We start from the raw sequence: 18,985 nt of genomic DNA, 5'->3' as shown, positions 1-18,985 counted from the left end.
TTTCTAGGCCCACAGTTTCTACAGTAGGAAAAGAGAACTAGAGGTGGACATTCACGTTCCCTGTGTTCCAAGATACCTCCCCCAGGAAGCCAACTCTGGTCTCACCTTGCAAAGAGCATAGGGGTAATAGCATGGCTAGACTACCTGTGGTCAGGTAGAAACAGAGCAGGAAGGCAAAGCTCATAGTGACAAACATGCAGATCTTGGTGGTAGGTCTATGTAACCACCAGCAGTGGTATGTGATTAGGGGCATTAGCGAACAGTATAACAAACCAACAAAGTCAAGCTGGTTGCCCCGGGAAATAGGAAGTTCTACCTGGCTTGAATCCCTAGACAATCAGCCTCCATGCCAGCCCCAGATCCTACCACAAAGCCTTGTCCAGAGGGGGAGATGACCACAGCATATTTTGGTAAAGTACAAGGGCTAGACCTGCCCCACTCAGAAGCCCAAACAGTGGTTTGGCTTAGTCTCAAAACCCACAACAGGGACCCAGCCAGGCAGGGAGATGCATACCACAGCCCATTATTAGCACAGTGTAGGGTCTAGAAATGCCTTACCTGGGGACTCTAACAGTGGTTCAACTCAGCCTCAAAATCATCCCCAAAGCCCACTCAGAGATGGAGATACTTGCCGCAGTGCATTTTGGCAAAGTGAAAGGGCTATATGCACCCCAACAAGGAATCCAAACAGTGGTTTGGCTCAAATCTCAAAGCCCACCCCAAGGTCCTACCCAGTCAGGAAGGCAAACATCAAATGTGCATTCCCACCAAGTGTAGTAGCTGTTCTCTCCATCCTGAGCAGTGTCCCCACTTAACTTTATGAGTAAGCCTGCAACCCCATACAACTCCAGAACTCAAATAGTGGTACCATCCAGCCAGGAAATACATCCTGTGGCCCGGCCCAGTCAGAGACAATCACCATCCGAGCAAGCAATTTTGTCTGATTGCATAGCTCATTTAGTGGTCATACCAAAAATCAGAGCCCAGCCAGTAGTCCCAACTGAACTCAGAGCAAAGACAAAAGCTGAGCCATCCGGAGAACCTGAAAGCAGAAAGCAAGCTCTACCTTCCCAGGGTTGGTACCAGTTGGCCAATCTAGAATGAAAGGCTAGACTAAATAATGAAAGTCTATCCCTGCCAACTAATACCTATAAAAAGAGGTAGCTACCTCCTCAAATGAACAGACAGCAGTGCAAGAACAAAAGGATTGTGAAGAATCGAGGAATGATGACACCTCCAAAATAAACTAATAAAACTCTTAACAATGGACCCTAAAGGAACGGAGATTTGCAAAATGACTGACAAAGAATTCTAAAAAGTCCAGGAGCTGGTTTTTTGAAAGGATCAACAAAATTGATAGACTGCTAGCAAGACCAATAAAGAAAAAAAGAGAGAAGAATCAAATAGACGCAATAAAAAATGATAAAGGGGATATCACCACCGATCCCACAGAAATACAAACTACCATCAGAGATTACTACAAACACCTCTATGCAAATAAACTAGAAAATCTAGAAGAAATGGATAAATTCCTCGACACATACACTCTCCCAAGACTAAAACAGGAAGAAGTTGAATCTTTGAATAGACCAATAACAGGAGCTGAAATTGTGGCAATAAGCAATAGCTTACCAACCAAAAAGAGTCCAGGACCAGATGGATTCACAGCCGAATTCTACCAGAGGTACAAGGAGGAACTGGTACCATTCCTACTGAAACTATTCCAATCAATAGAAAAAGAGGGAATCCTCCCTAACTCATTTTATGAGGCCAGCATCATCCTGATACCAAAGCCAGGCAGAGACACAACCAAAAAAGAGAATTTTAGACCAATATCCTTGATGAACATTGATGCAAAAATCCTCAATAAAATACTGGCAAACCGAATCCAGCAGCACATCAAAAAGCTTATCCACCATGATCAAGTGGGCTTCATCCCTGGGATGCAAGGCTGGTTCAGTATACGTAAATCAATAAATGTAATCCAGCATATAAACAGAACCAAAGACAAAAACCACATGATTATCTCAACAGATGCAGAAAAGGCCTTTGACAAAATTCAACAACCTTCATGCTAAAAACTCTCAATAAATTAGGTATTGATGGGACGTATCTCAAAATAGTAAGAGCTATCTATGACAAGCCCACAGCCAATATCATACTGAATGGGCAAAAACTGGAAGCATTCCCTTTGACAACTGGCACAAGACAGGGATGCCCTGTCTCACCACTCCTATTCAACATAGTGTTGGAAGTTCTGGCCAGGGCAATTAGGCAGGAGAAGGAAATAAAGGGTATTCAATTAGGAAAAGAGGAAGTCAAATTGTCCCTGCTTGCAGACGACATGATTGTATATCTAGAAAACCCCATTGTCTCAGCCCAAAATCTCCTTAAGCTGACAAGCAACTTCAGCAAAGTCTCAGGAAACAAAATGAATGTACAAAAATCACAAGCATTCTTATACACCAATAACAGACAGAGAGCCAAATCATGAGTGAACTCCCATTCACAATTGCTTCAAAGAGAATAAAATACCTAGGAATCCACTTACAAGGGACATGAAGGACCTCTTCAAGGAGAACTACAAATCACTGCTCAATGAAATAAAGAGGATACAAACAAATGGAATAACATTCCATGCTCATGGGTAGGAAGAATCAATATTGTGAAAATGGCCATACTGCCCAAGGTAATTTATAGATTCAATGCTATCCCCATCAAGCTACCAATGACTTTCTTCACAGAATTGGAAAAAACTACTTTAAAGTTCATATGGAACCAAGAAAGAGCCCGCATCGCCAAGTCAATCCTAAGCCAAAAGAACAAAGCTGGAGGCATCACACTACCTGACTTCAAACTATACTACAAGGCTACAGTAACCAAAACAGCATGGTACTGGTACCAAAACAGAGATATAGATCAATGGAACAGAACAGAGCCCTCAGAAATAATGCCGCATATCTACAACTATCTGATCTTTGACAAACCTGACAAAAACAAGCAATGGGGAAAGGATTCCCTATTTAATAAATGGTGCTGGGAAAACTGGCTAGCCATATGTAAAAAGCTGAAACTGGATCCCTTCCTTACACCTTATACAAAAATCAATTCAAGATGGATTAAAGACTTACATGTTAGACCTAAAACCATAAAAACCCTAGAAGAAAACCTAGGCATTACCATTCAGGACATAGGCATGGGCAAGGACTTCATGTCTAAAACACCAAAAGCAATGGCAACAAAAGCCAAAATTGACAAATGGGATCTAATTAAACTAAAGAGCTTCTGCTCAGCAAAAGAAACTACCATCAGAGTCAACAGGCTACCCACAAAATGGGAGAAAATTTTCGCAACCTACTCATCTGACAAAGGGCTAATATCCAGAATCTACAATGAACTCAAACAAATTTACAAGAAAAAAACAAACAACCCCATCGAAATTGGGCAAAGGACATGAACAGACACTTCTCAAAAGAAGACATTTATGCAGCCAAAAAACACATGAAAAAATGCTCACCATCACTGGCCATCAGAGAAATGCAAATCAAAACCACAATGAGATATCATCTCACACCAGTTAGAATGGCGATCATTAAAAAGTCAGGAAACAACAGGTGCTGGAGAGGATGTGGAGAAACGAACACTTTTACACTGTTGGTGGGACTGTAAACTAGTTCAACCATTGTGGAAGTCAGTGTGGCGATTCCTCAGGGATCTAGAACTAGAAATACCATTTGACCCAGCCATCCCATTACTGGGTATATACCCAAAGGACTATAAATCATGTTACTATAAAGACACATGCACAAGTACGTTTATTGCGGCACTATTCACAATAGCAAAGACTTGGAACCAACCCAAATGTCCAACAATGATAGACTGGATTAAGAAAATGTGGCACATATACACCATGGAATACTATGCAGCCATAAAAAATGATGAGTTCATGTCCTTTGTAGGGACATGGATGAAATTGGAAACCATCATTCTCAGTAAACTATCGCAAGAACAAAACACCAAACACCACATATTCTCACTCATAGGTGGGAACTGAACAATGAGAACATATGGACACAGGAAGGGAACATCACACTCTAGGTACTGTCGTGGGGTGGGGGGAGGGGGGAGGGACAGCACTGGGAGATATACCTAATGCTAGATGACGAGTTAGTGGGTGCAGCGCACCAGCATGGCACATGTACACATATGTAACTAACCTGCACATTGTGCACATGTACTCTAAAACTTAAAGTATAATAAAAAAAATTTAGTGAACTACAATAATATAAGGGTAGATAATTAAAAAAATTGAAAAATAATAAACAATATAACATGTTTGACAAATAGGAATAATAAAAATATAGAAATCTTAAAGAATAAAATGACTGAAATGAAAATGCAATAGAAAGCTCTAAGAACAGGCTCAATCAAGCAGAAGGGAAACAATCAATAAGCTAGAGACAAAACATTTAAAATAATTCAGTCAGAAGAGAAAAAATTAAAAAGATTGAAAAAGAATAAAGACAGACTCTGGATATGAAGGGAAACTATTAAGACCTAATATTCATCTAATAGGAGTTTTCAGAAAGAAAAGAAATAGAAAAGAGACCAGAAAGCATATCTGAAGAAGAAATTCTAAAAAACTACCAAATCTGGAGAAAGTTGCTAACATCTAAACACAGCAAATGCAGAGTTATCCAAACAAGTTTAAGCCAAATAGGAGTTATCCAAGATGTACAATAATTCAAATACCAAAAATTAAAGAAAAAGAAAACATTTTGAAAACAGCAAGTAATTAGAAGCATATCACATAGAAGGGAATATCAAAAATAGCTGTCTCTGGATTTCTCAACAAAATCTCAGGAGACCAGGAGAGAGTAGGATAATGTATTCAAAGTGCTGAAGGGAAAAAACAAGGCCAACAAGTCTACTTAACCCAGCAAAGTTGTCCTTGGCAAATGAGAGAAAAGCAAAAACTTTTCCAGACAAACAAAAGCTATGAGAGTTCATCACCACTAAATATGTCTTAAGAGAATTACTAAAGGAAGTTCTTTGAGCTGAATTAAAAGGCTGCTAATTAAAAATATAAAACATATGAGAACACAAATGCAATGGGATAAGAAATACAAAGTCATATCCAGAATATTCTAAGACTGTAATGATGATGTGTAAAGCAATTTTTTCCTATAGTACAATGGTTAAAAGACAAATCTATTAAAACACATGGAGCAAAAATAGTCAATGGATACACATAAGAAAATGATGTATATTTTGACATCAAAATCGTAAAATGTGGGAGAGGAGAAATAAAGTGTACGGCTGTTGTTGGCAAATAAAGCATACAGTTGTGATTGTTGTCAGCTTAGAATAGTATATCATATAAAAATAAAGACTAAAAACATCACCCAACACTACACAACTACATGGAAATTAAGTGACTTGCTCCTGAATGACTTCTGGGTGAACAATGAAATTAAGGCAGAAATCAAAAAAGTCTTTGAAATAACTGAAAACAGAGACACTATATGCCAAGATCTCTGGGATGCAGCAAAAGCAGTGTTAAGAGAAAAGTTTATAGCACCAAACAATTACTGCAGAAAGTTAGATATACCTCAAATTAATGACCTAGCATCCAACAGAATAGCTAGAAAAGCTAAAACAAAGCTAGCAGAAAAAAAAATAACTAAAACCAGAGCAGACCTGATTGAAATACACCAGAAAATTAATACCAAGAATCAATGAAACCAAAAGTTGATTCCTTAAAAGGATAAACAAGATTGATGGGCTGCCAGCTACAGTAACAGAGAGAGAGCGAGAGCAAGAGGAAGAGAGAGAGAAGATTCAAATAATCACATTAAGAAATGACAAAGGTGACATTACAGATGATCCGATAAATACAGAATATCCTCCAAGACTATTAGGAACACCTCTATGAACACAAACTACTAAATCTAGAGGAAATTGATCAATTTCTGGAAACAACCTCCCAAGATTGAATCTGGGAGAAATTAAAACCCTAAAAGACCAATATTAAGGTCCAAAATAGAAGCAGCAATAAAAATCTACCAACCAAAAAAGTCCTAGACCAGATGGTTTCACAGCCAAATTCTACCATGCATACAAAGAAGAGCTAGTATCAACTCTACTTAAACTATTCCCAAAAATGAGGAGAATGGACTCCCCCCTAACTCATTCTATGAAGCCAGCATCTCTTTGATACCAAAACCTGGCAAGTGAAAGTTTATAGCTACAAGTGCCTACACCAAAAAAGTAGAAAAATTTCAAATAACCTAGTGATGTATCTTTAAAAACTAAAAAAGCAAAAGCAAACAAACCCAAATTATTAGAAGAAAATAAATAATAAAGATCAGAGTAGTAATAAATGAAATGGAAACAAAGCATACAATACAGAAGATCAACAAAGTGAAAAGTTTGTTTTTTGAAAAGATGAACAAAATCAACAAAACTTTACCTAAGAGAAAAAGTGAAAAGACCCAAATAAATAAAATTAAGACATAAAACCAATACTGCAGAAATTAAAAGGATCACTTGCAACCATATGCCAATAAACCGGAAAATCCAGATAAAATAGATAAATTCTTAGATACATACAACCTATGAGGTTTGAGCCATGAAGAAATCCAAAACCTGAACAAACCAATAACAAGTAATGAGATCAAAGCCCTAATAAAAAGTCTCCCAGCGAAGAAAATCCCAGGACATGGTGGCTTCTCTGCTGAATTTTACCAAATATTATAGAGGAATTAATACCAACACTATTCAAACTATTCCAAAAAATATAGGAACACAGAATACATCCAAATTCATTCTATTAGGCCAGTATTACTCTGATATAAAACCAGAAAGAGACATATCAACAAAAGAAAACTACAGACCAATATCCCTGATGAACACTGCTGCAAAAATCCTCAACAAAATACTAACAAACTAAATCCAACAGCACATTAAAAATTTAATTCACCATGATCGATTGAGTTTTATTCTAGAAATGCTAGGATGATTCAACATATGCAAATCAATAAATGTGATTCATCACATAAAGTTAAAAACAAAAACCATAGGATCATTTCAATTGATGTTGAAAAGACAATCATAAAATAGGAGAAAATATTTGTAAACTATCCATCTGGCAAGGGATTAATAACCAGAATATATAAGGAACTCAAACAACTCTATAGGAAAATTCTGATCATCCAATTTAAAAATGGGCAAAAGATCTTGCTCAGAAGACACATAAATGGCAAACAGGCATGTGAAAAAGTGCTCAGCATCATTGCTCATCAGGGAAATGCAAACCAAAACTACAAGACGAATCATCTAACCCTAGTTAAAATGGCTTATATCCAAAAGACAGGCAGTAAGAAATAGTGGCTAGGATATGGAGAAAAGGGAACCCACTATTGGTGGGAATGTAAATTAGTACAATCACTATGGAGAACAGTTTGGAGGTTTCTCAAAAAAAACAAAAATAGAGCTACCATATGACCCAGCAATGCCATTGGTAGGTATATACACAAAAGAAAGGAAATCAGGATATCTGAGAGATACCTGCACTCCCATGCATATTGCAGCACTATTCACAATAGTCATGATTTGGAAGCAACCTGTTTGTCCATGAACAGATGAATAAAGAAAATGTGGTTAATGTACACAATCGAGTAATATACAGCCATGAAAAAGAATGAGATCCTGTTATTTGCAACAACATGGATAGAACTGGAGGTTATTACGTTAAATAAAATAAGCCAGGGACAGAAAGACAAATTTTCCATGTTCTCACTTATTTGTGGGAGCTAAAACTTAAAATAACTGGATTTATGGAGATAGAGAATACAGTAATGGTTACCAGAGACTAGGAAGAATAGTAGGGTTAAGGGGAGGAATGGATAATCGGCATAAAAATACAGTTAGATAGAATAAGTAAGATCTAGTATTTGATAGAACAACAAGGTGACTATAGCCAAACAATTTATAGTACATTTAAAAATAACTAAAAGAGCATAATTGCATTGTTTGTAACACAAAGAAAGGGTAAATGTTTGAAGTGATGAATATCCCATTTACCGCGATGTAATTATTATACACCGTATGCCTGTAGAAAAATATCTCATGTACCCCATAAACATATACAGTCACTGTGTACCCATAAACATTTAAAAAGGAAAATATAAAATAAACAACCTGATATTACAACTCTAGTAACTAATAAAAAAAGAACAAACTAAACCCAAAGTCAGCAGAAGGAAAGAAATAACAAGGATCTGAATAGAAATAAACAAAATAGAGACTAAAACTACAATAGAAAAGAACTCAATGTAATAAAGAGTGTTTTTTCAGAAGGATAAACAAATCAACAAACCTTTAGCCAGACCAAGGAAAAAAAAGAAAGGACTCAAATATTAATACAATCAAAAGTGAAAAGGGAGACATTACAACTGATACCATAGAAATATAAAAGCTCATAAGAAAAAAAAGCTCATAAGAGAGTACTATGAAAAATTGTACAGTAACAAATTGAATAAAGTATAAGAAATAAATAAATTCCAAGATACATGCAAGATACCAAGACTGAATCATGAAGAAAAAGTATGAACAGACCAAAAATGAGTAAGAAGATTGAATTGTAATAAAGTCTCCCATCAAAGAGAAGCCCAGAATAGCTTTACTGTTGTATTCTACCAAACACTGAAATAATTAGCAATCCTTAAACTCTTCCAAAAAAAATCTAAGAGGAAGGAATACTTCACTTCCAAACTTTTTTTACGTGGCCAACATTACTCTGACACCAAGGCCAGACAAGAACAAGAAAAAGAAAAGAAAAGAAAAGAAAAATTATAGGCCAATATCCCTGATGAACATAGATGAAAGAATCCTCAATCAAATACTAGCACACTGAATTCAACAGCACGTTAAAAAGGTAACTTACCATGCTCAAGTGGATTTACCCCAAGGATACAAGGTGGATCAACATACATACATCTATAAATGTGATATACATTAACAAAATGAAGCCCAAAATTATATAATCATCTAATTAGATGCAGAAATAGCATTTGAAAAATTCAACATTGTTTCATGAAAAGATTCTCAACAGAGTTGGTTTAGAAGAAATATACTTCAACATAATAAAGACCATGTATTACAAGCCTACAGCTCACACTATCTTCAACGCACCCTCCAAATCTCAGGCTGAATTGTGATCCCCAGTGTCAGAGGGGGTGCCTGGTGGGAGGTGTCTGTGTTATGGAGGTGAATCCCTCATGGGATGGTGATGGTATCCAACCCAACCCTCAGGAATGGGTTTGCATTTTACCCATAGTAGAGTTACCATCAGATCTGATGGTTAAAAAGAGTATGGGACAACCCCCTCCCCACCTAGCTCCCTTTCTTGCCATGTGACACAACTGCTCCCTCTTTGCTTTCTTCAATGAGTAGAAGTTTCCTTAGGCTTCAGAAGCTAAGCAGATGCTGATGCCATGCTTGTACTGACTGCAGGACCATGAGCCAAATAAACCTCTTTTCTTTATAAATTACTCAGTCTCAAGTATTCCTTTATAGCAACGTAAAATGGACTAACACAAATGTTATTGGTGATTTATGCAATGGCCATTTTAAGGGTGTGGTGGGGGGAAGCCATATTTAAATATATTGGAGGTGAGAAAGACATGAGGAAAAGATGAAGATTCCTTACTGTCTCTCAAGTATGGCAGGCATGCTCCTGCCTTGTGGTCCCTATACATGTCATCTCCTTTGCCTGGAATGCTCTTTTCCCAGATATTTATATTTCTTTCCCTAACACTCCCTTCAAATCTTTGACCAAATATCACCTTTTCGGTGAGGCCTTTCCTGACTAGCTATTGAAAATTCCACTCAGGGGAATTGAGAGATATTGGTCAAAAGGTACAATGTTTCAGCTAAACAGAATGAATAAGTTTTGGAGATCTACTGTACAGCATAGTGACTGTAGTTAACAGTCATGTGTTATACCATTGTCCCTAAATATCTGCAATATCAGGGGGGCGATTCGTTCCAGGACTCCCCAAGGACACCAAAATCCTGGGATGTTCAAGTCCCTTATATAAAATGATATCATTTTATATTTGCATGTAACCTACGCATATTTTTCCACACACTTTAAATCATCTATAGATTACTTATAATACTAATAAAATATAAATGTTTTATAAGTAGTTGTTATACTGCATTTTTTTATTTTTATTGCTTTTACTGTATTTTTTGTGGGTTTTTTGTACTAATAGTTTCTATCCAGTTGGTTGAATGCCTGAATGCGGAACTCATGGAAACATAGGGCCAAAAGTATACTTGAAATTTTTAGAAGAGATTTTAAATGTTCTCACACAATAAAATGAAAGTATGTAGAAGTGATAAATGTTAATTAGTTTGAATTAATCATTTCACCATGTATACATATCAAAAAATCATCTTGTATGCCACAAATGCATAGTTTTTTGATAAAAAATATCCAATCACCTATTATAAGGCAAGCGCATATTGAACAAGTGCCAAGTGAGCCTCATATACTGGATAATGATTCCATGGAAAGTAGCCTTGCTTAACTGGGAAAAGACCCAAGTGACAGAGTAGCTCCCTATGGAAAATCGTAACTGGTTTAAATGACAGCTTAAACTCCAGAATGTCTCACCAAACAGTCAAATGCTAGTTCTGTGAATTGTTTTTTCTTCTCATGTGAATCTATATACTGTTTTTGTCAATTACATCTTAGTAAGGCTGGGGGTAAAATGCACCTCTGCCAGCTCCCACACACACTCCCTATTGACCTGACGTTTCTAATTTTTCTCCACGTTTCCTCATCACTCCCTAATATACTATAGTTTACTTATTTATTTAACACCTGTTGTCTCCCTTTGGAATATAAGTTCCACATAGGAATTTTTGTACATTTTGTTCACTGCTATGTGCATGAGCATTTAGAGTAGTCCCTGGAACATTCACAATCAATTATTATTATTGAATTAACTAATCAGTTTTTAATATTAAAATATAAATATAAATAATATAAACATGTATAGTAAATTTTACACTTAATTACAAACATTATGAATATAAGTGTGATGAAAGGAAAAATTTTAAATGTTAAATGGTTATGTTGTATTCTCATGCATATGTATGTTTTCTCAAATTTTTCTATAATAAACTTGTAGTTACTCTTGTAAAATATCAAAAGTGAGCATTTGTTAAAATAAACTCATGTAAATAAATTTCATGCTTTCTGAAATGGCCATTTCAGAGATGTAGCGTAGGTGAAGAAGAGATGAGGACTCCCTGCCGTCTCAATCATGCCAGGTGTGCTCCTGCTTCGTGGCACCTACACATGCCATCTCCTCTGCCTGGAACCCTCTTTCCCCAGATGTTTATATTTGTTGCCTCCACACTTCCTTCAAGTCTTTATCCAAATATCACCTTTATGAGATTTCTGAATTTTTTATTCATCTATAACATACAAAAAGTACAGTGCACAAATCCTAAGTATATTGCTCAATGAATTGTTATCAACTGATACTCCTGTGTAAAGGTACCTAGTTCCAGAAACTGAATGTTATCAGCATCCCAAAATCCCAACCTTTTCATTGAGGCTTTCCCTAACTACCTATTGAAAATTGTGCCCAGGGGATATGGGGAGACATTTGTCAAAGGGTACAATGTTTCAGCTAAAAGGGATGAATAAGTTCTGGATATCTACTGTACACCATTAACCTTAAGAGAGATCTCAAAAAGGAAAAGAACTCACAAAAAAAAATTGCTGTAAAGGATACACATGAAAGGCACAGAAGGGAAGTGGAGGGAGTGCAGAGAACTGTGGGCTGAGTCTGAGCCTCAAGGCTTTTTCAGCATAAAATGCCACAAAGACTGTTGATAAGCAAGCCTGTCCCCCATTTACTAAACTTAGGCAATTAAAATTTTATCACTACCCAATGTATCAAAATTTTATCACTACCCAACACTGATTTAAGGACTCAACACTCTGACTTGAGAAAACCTGAAGTACAAAAAGTTACCACAAAGGTGGGTGAGACTCTCTAAGGAGCTCAAATATATGTCTTCAATGTGTTCTAATTGCAAATTACTTACAATTTGGCACAACATATTGGGAGAGGAGTAGTGGAGTGGTAAAAATCAAACCTAACTTCAAAATATTGTAAATTATGGCTCTAAGATCATTCTTAATGACCCAATATGTGCAGTGAGGCTCTTCTCTTCCTCCTCCATGTTACAGTTGAGAACACGAAAGACTAAGCCATTCACATTACCCCAGGGAAGGCAGAGGGCAAGGGCAGTCCAGGTGTCCTGAACTGTACTGCTCGCAGGGGAGGCCTGGCCCACCACTAAGTCTGGATACTTCCAAACCTATCCTTACATGAAAACAATATCTGCGGACCATTTCATTCCAATTGGTTTTGGGTCCTAGTTTCTGCCCAGTGGTCAAATCCAGAAACCCAATCAGGACCTGGTTTCAATGAGTGGCTCTGAGCTTAGCTAATTAATGGTTTCCTGTCCCAAGAAAGGTTTCTTGTTTTTGTTTGTTTAATTAATTGTTTGCTATTGCACTAAAATACTTTGTCTTACCTGACAATAGTGAGCTCAGGATTATCTTGGCACATTTGGTTATGTGGTTTGAGCCCTCCCAGAGTGTTACTGTCTACTAGTTACCCATTAAAGTTTAATAAGGCAGAAGACAATGAGCTTGCTAGAGATGTCACAGAGCCTTTGTTGCCATGGCAATAATTGTTGGACCAGATCACAGAGAAGTATGTAAGAGACAAGAAAGAGAGAACTGCAGGAAAAGCTGAAGCATAATAGTTTTTTAAAATAGTCTCTAAACTTATAGTGGAGTAATGTGTTTAAACTTGTGGGGAAAACTACTTTATGAGAAAGGCTGATTTTCCAACATCCTCTTAAGGAGATATGGTTTTGGTTTTATGGAAGAATGGTTTCTAAGCTACATTTCTTCTTTTTTTTTTTTTTTTTTTTTTTTTGAGACGGAGTCTTGCACTGTCACCCAGGCTGGAGTGCAGTGGCGCGACTTTGGCTCATTGCAACCTCCACCTCCCAGGTTCAAACGATTCTCCTTGCCTCAGAATCCCAAGTAGCTGGGATTACAGGTGCCTGCCACGATGCCTGGCTGTTTTTTTTTTTTTCTATTTTTAGTAGAGACAGGGTTTCACTATGTTGGCCAGGCTGGTCTTGAACTCCTGACCTCATGATCCACCCGCCTTGGCCTCCCAAAGTGCTGGGATTACAGGTGTGAGCCACTGTGCTCTGCCTACATTTCATCTTAAAGTAAAAGTAAACGAATTGGGATTAATTTGGAAGCACACTGACTATTATAATACCAAGAACTTCATATGAAGGCAGATAGCCATTAAAATGGCAGAAATTCAACAAGATTTTTAATAGATGATTGGGTCAGTGAGAAATAGTTTTGATGTGCAATATGAAACCCCAAATATTCCAGGGGCTCCTGCAAAGTGTAAACTTGGAGTTTCCTTGACTTAGAAGTGAAAGAACAGCAGGATTGGAGGTGGGTGAAAGAAAGAACCTAGTGATCTAGGTAATGTCACTTTGGATAACATTTGCTCTAAATTGCTCCCAGCATCAGAGTAGAGCTTGGGAGGAGTGAGTCTGTATTTCAAAGCCCAGGGTTTCAGTCAGTGTGAATGAGACAGTGAGGATTATCCTGCCCTCTTGTGCTTCTGAGCCAACATGCCAGGGCTTGAAGAGGAGCGGAAGGAAATGAAGAAGTCACAGAATGCCTGACTGAAGAAGCAAAGTGCAGAAACACATCACCTCCCTCCCTCCCTATAGAAGTCAAACTCCCCCGAGACTGCTCATCACTATCAGCATGGGATGGCAGTATATTTACTTAATTAGCTAAAAGTGAATAGAGCTTAAAGTTTAGCCCTTAGGTGGGATTTTGCCGACATAGACTTCCTAGGACTTTTGTCCTATCAGAGTGGCCTGTTGTACTGTGAGCTTCTTGTGTCAAAGGTTAATTAATCTTGTCTATCCAGAGTCTAATGTTCAAATGCATGTTCATTTAATCAGGCTGTTTATAAAGTATAGTGGTTTAGTGACAAGATTATTTAAGAAAAAGTCCCCAAAAATATACTGTTGACCAGAGTAAATTAAAGGTGTAAACATTTAATAATGCCTAGAAGCCCTAATCAGAATAGATATAATTTTTACCATTCTAATCTTTTGAAAGAAACATCACAACTAGAAATGAAAAAGGTCATGTTACCACTGACCCCACAGAAATAAAAAATAACCATCAGAAACTACTACAACCACCTCTATGCACACAAACTAGAAAACCTGTAAGAGATGGGTAAATTCCTGGACACACCAATAACCTGCTCCAAAATTGCATCAGTAATAAATAGCCTACCAACCAAAATATATATATATTTTAAAAAGCTCAGGACTAGATGGATTCACAGCCAAATTCTACCAGATATGCAAAGAAGAGCCAGTACCATTTTTGCTGAAATGATTCCAAAAAACTGAGAACTGTCCAACTCATTCTATGAGGCCAGCATCATCCTGATACCAAAACCTGGTAGAGACACAACAACAAGAAAAAACTTCAAGCCAATATCATGGATGAACATTGATATAGGGCAGCTTATGATTAGTATCATGACAAAGACACAAAGATGGTAAAATAAAAATTCAAGGATGGGGCCAGGCATGGTAGCTCACACCTGTAATCCCAGCACTTTGGGAGGCCGAGGCAAGTGGATCACAAGGTCAAGAGATAGAGACCATCCTGGCCAACATTGTGAAACCCTGTCTCCACTAAAAATACAAAAATTAGCTGGGCATGGTGGCACGCACCTGTAGTCCCAGCTACTCAGGAGGCTGAAGCAGGAGAATTGTTTGAACCCAGGAGGCGGAGGTTGCAGTGAGCTGAGATCACACCACTGCATTCCAGCCTGGGGACAGAACGAGACTATGTCTCAAAAAAAAAAAAAAATGCAAGGATGGAAAAGGTGCTTTGCTTAGGGGAAGAGGGGAAAACATTCTGGGGGGAAAAATGTCTTTTGAACTGGATCTTGAAGGAGGGTTTTTACAGGTGTAGGTGGAGATAAATAGAATTCCAAACACAGAAAATGATCACAAAAAAGAGAACATAGGAAACTGAACCTATTCAGAGAATGAAATGCTGTCTACTGTCTAATTTATCTGTAAAAGAGAGTAGGGAAAGATAACACCAGGAAAGTAATTTGAAGTCAATTTGTGGAGAACTTGGGAACTTGAAATCATTGATGGCTTTTGGAGCAGACAACAAGATCAAAGCTATGTTTTAGGAGTTTCTAAGTATTATGATTAAGTGATAATAAAGGTCTGAATAAACATTTTCCTCCATAGTCTTTCAAAGTGGAAGTGTGCTTTTAGACAGATGTCTGTAGTCCTAGGGCATACATCCCTGATGTCCTCAACTACTTCACAGCACTTGGTATGAGCATTCACTCACACATGAGTGTTTAGCTACACTATATTGGCCCCTAAATGCCATAAAGTAAAAATAGAAGGGACACAAATAAAAGTCAATACTTCTCTCATGTTAATTGGGAAGTCACATGTTCCTCTCAAGTATTTCTGTCAATTAACTTAAACGTTGCTACTTCTTATACTTTTTTCTCATATCTAAAGGAATCTGCCAAAAAAGTGCCATCCTTCTAAAAGTTATTTCTAAATTCTGTAAGTTTTTGCTCAATATGTGACAATGTTGGAACATCAGTATTTTCCTCACTGGGCTGTATATCCTCCAACATATGCACAGTAACACTTGAAATGTTCCTAAACATTATGTCAGAACTTTTGGTAACATTTTGTATCTTATTTCTCCTCAGACTGTGTCTTCTGGAAGATTTTTTGGAATCCGTCTGGTGGGCAAGCTCTTTGTAAATAATGATGTCTTAGAATAGTTGTCATTACTCTTTACTGATTCTTCAGAGAATATCTAATCATTAACTTTTTAAAGATTCATTGGCTTGGAAGATAACTTTCCTAATGCTATAGAAGCTACATCCCAGGAGAAAGTGAGTTTTATAAAGTGCATTTTTAATTTTGGGGCCACAATAAAACTGTCTAGCTGGAGGCAGAATATGGTTTATAAAATAAATCATTTAGAGATTTGGTTCATGTCAAAACGATGATGGCTTCACCTTTTGAGCACTGCTGAGAATCATGACACTCCCATGTCAATCCGTTTCCATAATTTCCTAATGTTGGTTTATTAATGTTTCTGGTTGGAAGCCAATTAAAGAGGCATCTATTACTAAAAGAGGCACAAACATAACTTCTAACTAGTCATACCAAAAGAATTCCTAGAGCACTGGTGTAGAGATCAAATTGGAAGAAAAACTTCTGAAAATTTGTGTTTCTTCTCAAAATGCAAGCCCTCTTGACATCTAGAACTCACATCCCTCCATATTTCTGAGGAAAAAAAAGTTTTTTCAGGTAACTCAAATCCCTAAATATATTTTTAGAAGAATGTAGGAGGAAGTTTACCTATAACAAAAAAAAGTGTTTAATTTCTGTCATTTAGTAAAATTTTTCAATTTTATAAAAAGCATATAAGGAAAATCAATCTCCAAATTTTATGAAATACCTTCAAAAATAAAGTTTAATGTCTAGATCTTTGCAAACTTTTGTACATAATGACTAAATCAATACTGTATTGATTTTATCAATATAATAATCACTGTATCAGTTTATGAAATTAAGGTAAAAGATTAATCAGAAACTTAAAGCCTTCCCTTTCTACAGAAAACAATGCAGTTTTACAATATTAATATTAAAAGTCAATATTGGTAAGCAACATTAGATAATCACTTAAGCTAACAACAGCAGCAATAGAAATTCAGAGATAATGGCTTTAACGTGATAGCTACCAATTTATTTTAAAATATGTGCATTTCTTTTGCATATGTAAATAATGTTAAGTAATATGTTTAGCTGAAATGTAAATGGTCAAAACTTTCCTTGCTGAGTCTATTGCACTATAAGTTGGGTTTGCAGTAAGAAACTAACACATTTGTGCCTTCTCAAAGTACTAATTTTGGGTTGTATGCTATCCAGAAACTATATTAAATCATTTCTGTCCCAAAATAATGACCTTACAAAAGGAATTTAACTTTACCTAGTTCTATCACGATTGCATATTAAGGAGAGATTTAGAAGCTGGCAGAAGTTTTTGTTCAATCAGCTACCTACTAAGCCCAAAACTCATATACTGTATAGCCAAGAAAAACTAAACTATATTATCTTCCTAATTATTCTTTTGAAAAATGACTTCATGTTCATTGTCTTCTCTTCATTCTTAAAAAAGGAACTCATTTTGTAAAAGAGTCCTGACTGATAATGTGTCTCTTGACCTTGCAGGTCACTGGCCCAATGAATGTCTCTGAGCCAAATTCCAGCTTTGCTTTAGTAAATGAATTTATACTCCAAGATTTATCTTTTGAGTGGACAATTCAGATCTTCCTCTTCTCACTCTTCACTACAACAAATGCACTGACCATAACAGGAAATGGAGCCATTGCTTGCGCCCTGTGGTGTGACCGGCGACGTCACACTCCCATGTACATGTTCCTGGGAAATTTCTCCTTTTAAGAGATATGGTATGTCTCTTCTACAGTTCCCAAGATGTTGGTCAACTTCCTTTCAGAGAAAAAAACCATCTCCTTTGCTGGATGTTTTCTCCAATTTTATTTCTTCTTCTCTTTGGGTACATCTGAATGCTTGATTTTGACTGTGATGGCCTTTGATCAGTACCTTGTTATCTGCCATCCCTTGCACTATCCTAATAAATCATGACTGGGCATCTCTGTGCCAAACTGGTCATACTGTGCTGGGTTTGTGGATTTCTGTGTTTCCTGATCCCCACTGTTCTCATCTCTCAGATGCCCTTCTGTGGTCCAAACATTAATGACCATGTTGTGTGTGACCCAGGGCCACTATTTGCATTGGCTTGTGTCTGTGCCCCAAGAATCCAACTGTTTTGCTACACTCTAAGCTCATTAGTTATTTTTGGTAACTTCCTCTTTATTATTGGATCCTATACTCTTGTCCTGAAAGCTGTGTTGGGTATGCCTTCGAGCACTGGGAAACATAAAGCCTTCTCTACCTGTGGGTCTCATTTGGCTGTGGTATCACTGTTCTATGGCTCTCTTATGGTCATGTGTGTGAGTCCAGGACTTGGACACTCTATGGGGATGCAGAAAATCAAAACTTTGTTCTATGCTATGGTGACCCCACTCTTCAATCCCCTTATCTATAGCCTCCAGAATAAGGAGATAAAGGCAGCCCTGAGGAAAGTTCTGGGGAGTTCCAACATAATCTAAGCCATATTAGATTATTCCTCCATGATCAGATGAGTACAGTCTAACAAAGAGAAATCAGAATTATATAGTTATTTAAATCTAAAAAATATGGATCTAGTGATATTGACTATATCAGCCTATGAAATTAAACACCTGTTGGGCCCCTTACAAATTAAAGTTGCCAAATTATATAGATAAATGGAAGCGTGTGGCTTCCCTTTGGCACCTAGACTGAGTATTAACTGAGGAATGTACATATTTGGGTGTTTTCTGGATAGTTTCCATCTGATTCATCTGTGATAAAAATTCTTTAAGTTCTATTTGACTTAAATTTATTGTTCTGACATTGACAAAATTACAGCTATGTTATTTTGTTTGGTTGGTTGTAAATAAAAGAAGAAAAAACATATTTTCTGATTGTGATTCCTATCATATTTGGCTTTATTATTTGGTGACATGGTCATTTCTAATAAATAAGCCCTTATAAGCAATTTATCAACATTTTTGTGGGACAATAAAATATTCTAGCCTAATGACATCCAAACATTACTTCCTTCTGAGCCCCTAAAGGGCAGATTCTAATTCCATCTATA

General features: G+C 36.9%; 1 long non-coding RNA gene and 1 pseudogene across 1 annotated transcript in view; one reads left to right on the top strand and one right to left on the bottom strand.

Moving 5' to 3' along the window:
- Positions 1-18,985, bottom strand: part of LINC02203 (long intergenic non-protein coding RNA 2203) — an 87,749-nt gene that overhangs the window by 47,884 nt on the left and 20,880 nt on the right. The gene's annotated exons all lie outside the window — the stretch shown is intronic.
- Positions 13,465-18,413, top strand: LOC107987217 (olfactory receptor 11H12-like; annotated as a pseudogene).

Source organism: Homo sapiens, chromosome 15 (genome assembly GCF_000001405.40).
Source record: "Homo sapiens chromosome 15, GRCh38.p14 Primary Assembly".
NCBI lineage: Eukaryota > Metazoa > Chordata > Mammalia > Primates > Hominidae > Homo > Homo sapiens.
Note: the sequence above shows the minus strand (reverse complement) of the source record. Positions and strands in the feature narration are given on the sequence as shown.